At 42.4% G+C, this 9837-nt stretch overlaps 1 protein-coding gene across 54 annotated transcripts in view, besides 3 other annotated features; it reads right to left on the reverse strand.

Moving 5' to 3' along the window:
• The window catches only part of CAMK2D (calcium/calmodulin dependent protein kinase II delta), a 310707-nt gene extending 307078 nt beyond the window's left edge, over positions 1-3629 (reverse strand). For all 54 annotated transcript variants that reach the window (NM_001321578.2, NM_001321577.2, XM_017008674.3 and 51 more), the window contains exons 1-2: positions 2895-3629; positions 1211-1305 (exon numbers count right to left, since the gene is read on the reverse strand). Coding sequence is in view for 44 of the 54 variants with exons in the window: in NM_001321577.2 (NP_001308506.1) it covers positions 1211-1305; positions 2895-2959 (160 nt within the window). In the remaining 10 variants the exon portion in view is untranslated. The remainder of the gene's footprint in view (positions 1-1210; positions 1306-2894) is intronic.
• Positions 3416-3825: a silencer, noted in NCBI's record as "silent region_15647". NCBI's record gives its function as "represses an Ori minimal core promoter by ATAC-STARR-seq in GM12878 lymphoblastoid cells {active_cell/tissue: GM12878}" and the evidence as "EXISTENCE:reporter gene assay evidence [ECO:0000049][PMID:35858748]".
• Positions 3819-4357: an enhancer, noted in NCBI's record as "H3K27ac hESC enhancer chr4:114683084-114683622 (GRCh37/hg19 assembly coordinates)". NCBI's record gives its function as "activates a minimal SCP1, AML or CMV promoter by ChIP-STARR-seq in naive H9 embryonic stem cells {active_cell/tissue: H9 hESC(naive)}" and the evidence as "EXISTENCE:reporter gene assay evidence [ECO:0000049][PMID:30033119]".
• Positions 4358-4896: an enhancer, noted in NCBI's record as "H3K27ac hESC enhancer chr4:114683623-114684161 (GRCh37/hg19 assembly coordinates)". NCBI's record gives its function as "activates a minimal SCP1, AML or CMV promoter by ChIP-STARR-seq in naive H9 embryonic stem cells {active_cell/tissue: H9 hESC(naive)}" and the evidence as "EXISTENCE:reporter gene assay evidence [ECO:0000049][PMID:30033119]".

The following is a 9837-nucleotide window of genomic DNA, read 5'->3' on the forward strand; positions in this document are numbered from 1 at the left end:
TTCCTTTTCATTGTTAAAACCTTTCTGTGGAGTAGAGACTAAGAGAACATAATTAACATAATATTCTTCTCATTAGTTTTCATACCATGATTCTATGGTGCTGGTTACTTTATAGATCTTTCTCAGAATCATGTCAAAATCAGATGAAGGAAATTAAAACAACAACCCATGTGAATGGATAAACTAAAATACCAACCTAAACCTAAAATGCATGTTAAAAGTAGAATTTGCAATAAATATGGAAAAACTAATCATGGCAGAGACCGAAAGCAATGATGCCAGGATTTTGGTAAGAAGCACTTTTGAAAAGACATATTAAATGAGGAAAACTAAACCTAATGGAATTTCTTCTCTCATTACTTAAAATAAACCAGGTCACTGAGATGAGCGTACACTATGGTATTTTGTTCATTTTCATTTCATTTTTATACCATAAATTCCCATGGAAATACCTCAGACACGTGCCCACAATAATTGGAATGCCTAACATTTCAGCGTAAGTACTTTTGCATGAGTTCTACTAAATAAAAAGAATGCAGTGAGAGCCCTCCAAGTTTTTTGGTTATGTCAACAGCTATTTTACGAGTATGAATTATCTCTGTACCTATAAACTACATGTGTAAAATACATTACATGAGTCTGTGTGAAGCCTTAATGCGAAGACCAAGGTCTGAGCTGCACACAGAAACATCAAAATAAAACTAAACTTCCTAGAATATAGCAATCATAAATTTTCTTACCAAAGCTATTACTGTTAAATATACCTTGATGAATTAAGTTCAAGTGTAACTACAATTGAAATGTATGATTCAACTGAGCTATGACCTACTTCCCTCTCAAAAGCAAAAGGGAATTATGACAGTTGTGAGACTTATATTTTTCCATTCCATGGTCTAAAAGTTGTTTTATACTTAAACTATAAGCAAAATGCACCTGACATTTATTTGCTTTAAAATATAGTTATTCATGCTATTGCTCATAGGACAGATAGAATTTTAATAGCAATGTATCAAATAATAATTATATCTTTCCATGTATTTTTAAGCTGTACAGACCAAGAAGCATTCAGGAAGAAAATAATCTTAATATATAATATGATACCTAAGTCTAAAGTTCAGTTATAACTACATGATATATTTACATACAACAGAACCTATAATCAACATGACAAATACAAAATTAACCAATATATGTGGTTGAAAATACCCACCCCTAGCAGAAAGCTTTTTGGTGTTGATAATTTTGGCAGCATATTCTTGTCCAGTAGGAATTTTCATACATCTTCTCACCACTGAGAATGCCCCCCTGGAAACCAATAATTAGCAGGTCATTAATATAACAGATATAATATTTCATTAAAAATTTATAAAATCTGAGCATTTTTATTGATTTTAGTGGATTGCCAGTGAAGTACAGTAATATCCAGTAAATGAACAATTCTTCCTGGAAACCCAGACTTTCTTTAATGTTGAAGAATAAAAGTAAATTTTATTTAACTGGGAGCACACATTATTAATCAACAAAATGAAAGGAACTGCCAATTATGACCGCTCTTGTTTGCACAAGAAATTTGAAAACATTTTACAGTTCACACTCACAGCACCAAATGCTCTGAGAAAAACCCTGCACAGAACAGAGCAGACGAGGAGCAGCAAAAAAATCTGCTGCCTACTTATTTTGGTAGGAAACAAAAAATTAATGTGGTTCCAAGTAAGTAAACATGACGATTATTTTCATTAAAATATAAATCTTGAGCACATTAGTGTGGTTTAACAAATCCTGGTATGGTGATTTCTCTATGCCTTGTTTTGGACTGGGGGAGGGGAGAGATTTGAATTAAGCTGCTCTTCCGACATATTCTCCATGTTTTAACACCAGACAATATATACATATGTAATTTTTATTACTTTTAAAAATATTTACCTTTCCTTTAATTACAGTATAAACCAACAACATACATATAAACGCACTCCTTTCATAAAAGTAACAGTCGAAACTAGTGAAAGAGGAATTGGGTTTGGGTTCCATGCTACAAAAATCAGCATTCACGGCTTGGCCCCTAGGTCCCTTTGCATAAGTCCTCAGTAGGTCTCCTGCCTCCTTCCCTAACATCTCCAAGTAGTTCTGCCAGTCGGGTGAAGGAGGTGGTTTTACACAATGCTAGGCTACGCTTAAGAGCGCTCTCAGTCTCCAGAGGGCTTTTCCGTTGCCTGTATAAATAAATCCTCCCAGAGAACGCAAAGATGCACACGTAAATCCTAGGAAGAATGATGGTGAGCGGTAATCTGGTGCAAAGAACAACACTGGATATAGGGCAAGGGGTTGGGTTCTGTTGGGTGGCCCTTTTCCTGGACAGAACAACTACTGGATGCGAAATAGACTCTATGCCAAGTTGAACTTTCGGCATCAATAAATATGGCACCGTCTGAGGCTGTGAGTTCTCATCAGTACCTGGGTCATACGGCCGACACGCCGGCTAACCAGGAGGCATCTCTATTTACAGAAAACATGATCTATGTTGCATTTTACATGGGTTCTAATTTCCTCTCCAAACACACATTACACACAGGCGCGCGCGCACACTTCTCAGGATGATAGCTACAACTGCAGAGATCGTAAATTCACTAAGTCTCTCAGTGCAGGAGGGTGGGGGACCGGGAGAAGGTGGGCTAGGGACCATCAAAATGAGCCACAGTTGGAGTAAGGGTCCTACCCCTTCTGTGCTCCCTCCCTTTATTAAGACAGCACCTTCCCCAGAGCTGACAAACCAGGGGCCCTCCTCCCATTCCTCTCCCAAACTCCCTCGCCCCAAGACGGAGGCCGGTGGGTCGGGGGCAACGCGACCCGCCCTCAGCTGGAAAGGGGATATGCGGATGCCGGGCAAAGGTGCTTACTTTCCAAGCTCCTCGAAAAGCTGATACTCGTCCGTGAACCTGGTGCAGGTTGTGGTCGAAGCCATCCTCGGTCCGGGCTGTGCCCTGGCTGGGAGCGCGACGGACCAGAAGCGAGCAGACGCGCGGCTAACCCCGGGACTGGCCCCGCGGCGCTGTCACCCAGGGCCGCTCTTACTTTCCTGGTCCGAAAGTAGCTCGCCCGCGAGGGAGTGTGCGCAGGGGCGGGGCGGGAGGGGAGATGACCAGAAAGGGTGGCGTGGGGTCTCCTCCCCACAGTCCGCCGATCCTCCTCCTCCTGCGGGCCTCGCTTCCTTCTTCTCCACTGGACGCTCCACCCGCCCCTTTTCCAGTCCCTGTCCCCAAATGCAGGGGGTAAAGTACTCAAGAAGAGGGGGCCGGGAAATGGAAAAACAGCCAGGCACGGGACGAGTGGCAAGCAGTTGCGAAACGATCCGCACTGGAGCAGGAGGAGTAGAAGCAGAGGGGAGGGAGTCCGAGGGGGCGGAGGTGGAGTGCAGCGGGGCCGAGGCCGCGGAGCCCAGAGCGGACAGCCTGAGCCCAGCGGCCGCTGTCAGCAGGCTCAGGCGCGGGGCGCGCCGGGGCTCCGACGAGCGTGCGCGCCCGAGGCCGGCTTCCCTCCGGCGGGCGGCAGCGGCTCCGGCGAAGCGAGGCACCTTGGCGGCCTCGCGCTGCTCACGAGCCCGCGCGGCTTCAAGACGGCGCGGCGAGAGAAAGAGCGCTCGGCTCAGGCGAAGCCTCTTCTGCCGTCCCCAGGCCTCCGTCTCCTCCTCCGGCGCCTCCTCCCGCCGCTCCCTCCGCCTGCCAGCACCCCCTCCCTGGCGAAGCCCCCTCCTCGCTGGTCCCACACCTCCCTCTAGCGACTCCAAGCCTGTCCCTTCGTGGATCTCTCGCACTCCCTCCTTTGGTTGCACACACGAGCACACCAGTCTAGGGAGAAACCAGGTGGGTGGAGGAGGATGTGCGGGGGAGAAGACTGGAGGTTTGGGTGAATGAGGCGAGAAGTCACAGTTACCCATTTAAACCCGCACAGAGAAGGCTGCCTCAATCTGGGGCTGACTGAGCGGGAAGATGCAGGGCAACTCGAGGATGGCCCGGGGCAGCCGCCCTGGGTCGCGGAAGCCCACGCCCCTGTTTTGGGCGCCGGGCAGCAGGGACTTCTCCAGGCCGGTTCCCGGGCCACGACACCCGGTGGGCCGAGCAAGGGAGAGCAACCACTTCATCTCCACGCCGCTCAGAGTTGACACAGCAGGGGCCGGATGTGGGCTGTTCACTGCTCTCAGAGAAGGGTCCCAACCCTTCCCACAGCCACCAGCGACTGTCGGGGCAAAACCCAGCCTCAGCAGGGTTCACTGCGTCGCCAGCTCCCCAGAACCGGGCGCAGGTTTTCTCCCTCCCCCGCAGCCCCTTCTGCAAGGGGCAATGACGGCCCCTGAGCCACATTACACTTGCCACCTCCAGGCCCACCTCCCCCGCTGTTTTCCAGGATGGTGGCTGAGACTCTGGCAATCCCCAAAGGCCTTTGCTTTGGCTGTGAACGTTAAAAGAATGAAAGCAAAAACTCCGCCGCACAACCACACCTTCCCTTCCCTTCTGAGTAACTCCCCTGCAACCTCAGTAAGTTCTGATAGTAAGGCGAATTCTCGCGATATTTCCCACTCTGGCGGTCAGGGGGAGGTAGTAGGAAGGCTGGGTGTCGGTCACGCGACCCGGCGGGGGCTGACGTCATTCACATCACGTGAACACGTCTAGACTGTTTCGCTTTGCAAAGGGAAAAAAGAAAAGGGGCCGTCGTGTGTGCTTTTGCTTTCAGCCAGATAGTGGCAATTGAGTGCACTCCGTAAATGGCTATCTGGAAAAACCATTTAGCAGTTCAAGAATGTGTCCTTCCCTTTAGCATATCTGCCATTGTTTTCAGTAGGAGGAAAAAAAAAGTATGCATTACGATTTAAAATAGATAAACTGCTGCCGATTGCTAGAACAACTTCTGGGCCCTCTTTCCAGTTCTCCTTAATGAAACTATGCAATTGCAAATTTAGCCGCAGACCAAAAACAGCGTTATGGACGGTCTTTTTCAAATTACTGCCAATTGTTCTACAGCACGGGACTATAAAAACCTTGCAATCCTATTGCTAATTTGCTCGTGGTATTACTTCATAGACAAAATTTCACAGCTGAAAGATAAAAGATAATTTGCAGACACAAGAGAATCTAAGATTTAAAGGCGCTGCTGCTTGCTCCCAAAGACTGCTATTAATTAATGTTACTTTGTGGTCATAGATAATCCTAATTCCTTTTTTCCTGATCTGGGGAACGCTTCTGCCAATGAGTGAGCTTTTTACTGAAGTACTAAAAATGTTCACAAATTTTAACGTTTATTACAACAAAATTGAAGTTCGTATGTGTTTTGATTCCCAGCCGTAAAAGGCAAGAAATAACTGTGTAAAATGTAGTGCTATAGAAAAAGATGATACCAAGAACTGCATAAAAGAAACATGGTCTCTAAATATTAATAATTGGGCTATAAATTGAAAAAAAAAACACAATTTGGTCTTGGCTAAAGATTTGTAATATCTGAACTATTTAGCAATGTGGCTCCAAGGTGATAATGAAATAATTTAATATTTTTCCCTGAATCTAAGAATGAAACAGAAAAAGTAAAATTAAAACAATAAAGGTAATATAAAAATTTACATCTGGGAAGAAAATTGTTTCTTAAATATTCAAGTAATGAAGTCTACATAATTACAGTATTTATCTCAGTTATTTAAACTACCAATAATTGTAAATGGTTATAATTGTGGAGTACAATAAAGGAAACATAACTGAGTTTTAATACTGATGTATTATTAGACAATAAATGTGTACATTTTTTACAGCAAACACTGCTTAATCTGTACGTACCCTTTCTTTGATTTATATTTTAGACTAAATATTTCTCTTATTTGAACAAATATTTACAGTTATTTCTGAAGTTTGAACCTCCTTAAAAAGTAGTCAGATTAGCCGGGCGCAGTGGCTCACGCCTGTAATCTCAGCACTTTGGGAGGCCGAGGCGGGTGGATCATCTGAGGTCAGGGGTTCGAAACCATCCTGGCCAACATGGCAAAACCCCGTCTCTAATAAAAATACAAGATTAGTCGGGCATGGTGGCATATGCTTGTAATCCCAGCCACTTTGGAGGGTGAGGCAGGAGAATCGCTTGAACCTGGGAGAAGGAGGGAGGTTGCAGTGACCCGAATTCGCGCCACTGCACTCCAGCCTGGGCAACAAGAGCAAAACTCTGTCTGAAAAAAAAAAAATAGTCAGATCAAAGACTTTGTTGTTGTTGTTCTACTTCAACATCATTTCAGGAATAGCTACAAAATAGAGATAAATTCTAAAAAGTGTAGAAATGTAGACCTATAAACATAATAACACTGGATGTTAGTGCCAAATGTATTTACATTTCATTATACATGCCTTACTAACTGCATGTCTGATGAACATGGTAGAGAAAGTTAAGAGGGAGAGTTAGTGAATAAAAAGTTAGTCATTAAAGTTGTTGAAGATAATAAGGCAGGCTTTATTCAAGGGGGTCCATGGTGATCAGAACCACTGCAACCAGGTCTTGCAGGAGGAGAGAGAGATTGGACTCTATTTCAACTCTTAAAAGGCCAAGTGGGGATTTACAAGCAAGGAGCAGGGTAGAGGGCTGTGGATATAAAATGACTAAGTATTCTCCCTCTTTCCTCTTTGGCAACTTGGAATTTAAAAAAATCCAAGACTTCAGTAGTTTCACCCAGAAAGTACAAGTTTCTAATGCTTACATTAACAAAGGCAGATATTAACAGATACTAACATTCATTGATTTCCTCTGCTACAAAGTTATAAGATAAGAAACAGCGAAGAGATAATGTTATCTCTATAGCTCCCCAAAGTGCAGAGTCCATCAGTAAATAGCAGATTCCTGTGAAAATTTTAGCAGGTGCTGTGTTGAAGCCACTCTTCACTGCAGATTTGGAGGCTAGGGGAAAAAAGTAACAGCAAGTTGCTGCCTTTCCAAACTATGATAACTAAACCATATAGAGCCAGACAGTCTACTGATGAGCAGATAATCTGTTTACCAGACCATCCATTAGTGCAAGATGAATTTGCAGTTAAAAAACAAACTATTCATAAAAGCAAAGCTAACAACAGAAGATATTTTCTTTGTTTCATCATGTGCTGAAAGAATCTTTTTCCTAAAAATAAAAATAAATGTGCAAATAAATAAGAAAACAAGTGATATCCATACAATGAAGAAATGTCTCTTTTGCATTACTTGCAAGTACATTGGTCAGCATGCTTGACCCTCCATGAACATACATGTTTCCCTGACACTCTGCTAAAAGAATTGCAGTAGGAAGGTACATTAAATAAGATGTATAATACACAATAATTGTATAAAAGGTTATAGAGTCATTAATAAAGAAAATAACAGATTTTGACTCTTCTGTGTACCTCTAATGATTTTCATTGACTTTCAACTTTGCAAACACTTATTACACTGGACTGTAATTAGACTGTCAGACCCTTCCTGGCAGGGACTGTCATTCAGTCCCCCCACTGTATCACTAGCACAGGGTTTTTGCCACAACAGGTGCTCAAAAATACCTTTTTTTTAAAAAAAAAAAAAAACAATATTATGGTATTAACAGTCTTGACTTTCCAAATATTAAAAATGCCCAATCTTTAATAGGGTATAATGAGGCCCCTTTGTTGCAATATTTAGTTGATTCTTTGTAATCCTGAAGTAACTTGACTTCTCTGTATAATTTCATACTCTTGACCTGAAATTCTCTCTGTTGGTTTTCATGTCTGATACCACACTTTCTATTCACAATACCTCACCCATTCCACAACATTTCTGCCTCTTTTCTTCAGTATCATTCCTGGTCTCTTTTTTCTCTGCCTCTGTGGTAAGTGATAGTGCTTTCAACCTAGGATTCCATCTTAGGTTGCCTTTTTTTCTCATTTTACACAGCTTTCCTAGGCTGCCTTCATAGCTATCACTGTGTTAATTATCATATGTCTTAAATTTGACTCTCCAGATGTAGACCCTAAGACAAGAATGTATGGAAAAGGGATTTATTGAGGTAGTATTTCCAGGGACAAGGATAATGTTAAAGAAAAAAATCTCATTCAATGATACTTGCTGAAGTATAGTAAGACAGATTTTATTCAGACTATCACAGTAGGTATAGTTACCACTGCAAGGGGGTTTTGCAGTAGGGGAAAGAGATTGGGCTGAACTTCAAATGCAAAAAAAAAAAAAAAGGAAAAGTGGGAATTTATATCTAAGGAGTGGGAGTGGAGGAAGGTAGATGAATGGAAAATTACTAAAAGGAAACTTCTGAGGTAAGGGGATAGTCTGGCTAAACCTACCTAACAAGATTCTTACTGAAGGCAGGCTGGAAGATTCTGGATAAACAAACTTAGCAGGATTCTTAATAAAATTGGGCTGATGCAAACATTTGACATGGAAATTCAAACGTCGAGGGTAGGAAAGAGGATTGAGAGAAGCCTAACTAAAATTTGGTGAAGGAGAGACTCTTTGTCAGTAGAGAATTGGAGAACATGGGACAAAAACAATGCAAAAACAAAAAGCAGCATGTGCCTTCAAGTAAAGTCCCAGCATCAGCCTTATTTTCAGGGAGCTCTGGAGTATATGTTATACCCAGTTTTGTTACCCTCAAAGCAAGGGCTTTCCTATTTCTTCACCAGTCATTCATTGATCACTAGCAATGGAAGAGGGAAACAAACGGACATAAACTCCCTTGGGGTCAGGGTCTGGCCGTCCTTCCTGGCGGGTTGAACAGCTCCAGTGGCTCCAGAGTATGCCACTGAGGAAAAAGTCACAGGTAGAGGCTATTACAAGAAAAGACTGCAGAAGTGGGGTATGCACACAGAACTAGGGCATGGGCACAGAACTGGGATTCCAGAGAACGGAGAGTGGAAGCACCAACAGAATCAGCTGGATACTAAAGTGCTAATGACCCTGCAATCTCTGTCTGTAGCAAAGGTCTTTTTCTGAGCTTCAGACTCATATTGCCCGCTCCCTACAGGAAACTTCCTCCTGGACATTGCACCTCTGACTCAACATGTCTAAAATTAATATGTCTTCCTTCTACATCTGCACCTCCTCCATATCTCAGTGAAATTTCAGGGTCATCCCACAATCAATCACAAGTCCATATACATCATAACATTCCTACTGCAAATGCCTTAGTTTAGGCCACCATCGTTTCTCACTTGGATTCAGAGGAATTCATACTAAACAAATCTATCATGTCTCTTCTCAGTATAGATATCATTATTAGCTCCCCATATATCTTTAGGAAAAAAGTTCAAAAAGTCTTTAGTACACCCTACCAGGCATTTCAAACTACTCACTGCTTAGTTTCATACTCATTCCTTGTACCCACACATACCCTAACTCCTAAACATTTCTAGAATTATCTTGCATTTCTCATTACCAGCATTCTAGATCAAACTATTGTCTTCTCTAACCAGTTTGCGGAAACAACCTCTTAACTGCATTAATAATTGTGCTTTCTTCCCTCTCCTACACACAGCTGAGAGAAACATCTTTTGAAAATAAATTTGATCCCATCATTCCTTTGCTAAAATGTTTCAGGTATGCCTCCAGTGATCTTGAAATAAAGACCAAAATCTATCAAGGTTTAAAAAGCCTTACATGATCCTCCAATATTGTTATACTTACTATGATTAGTATTTTAACCTGTCTGAAAATTTTTGAATGGTTTGAGGCAGGCAGGTATCTACTTTCATTTTCTTTTCCCCTCAAATGGATAGCTAGTTTTGCCAATGCATTAACTGAATAGTCCATCTGTCCATCTTTATCCTTTCCCACTTGTTTGAAAGACCTTTTTTTTTTTTTTTT

This window comes from Homo sapiens, chromosome 4, assembly GCF_000001405.40.
Source record: "Homo sapiens chromosome 4, GRCh38.p14 Primary Assembly".
Lineage (NCBI taxonomy): Eukaryota > Metazoa > Chordata > Mammalia > Primates > Hominidae > Homo > Homo sapiens.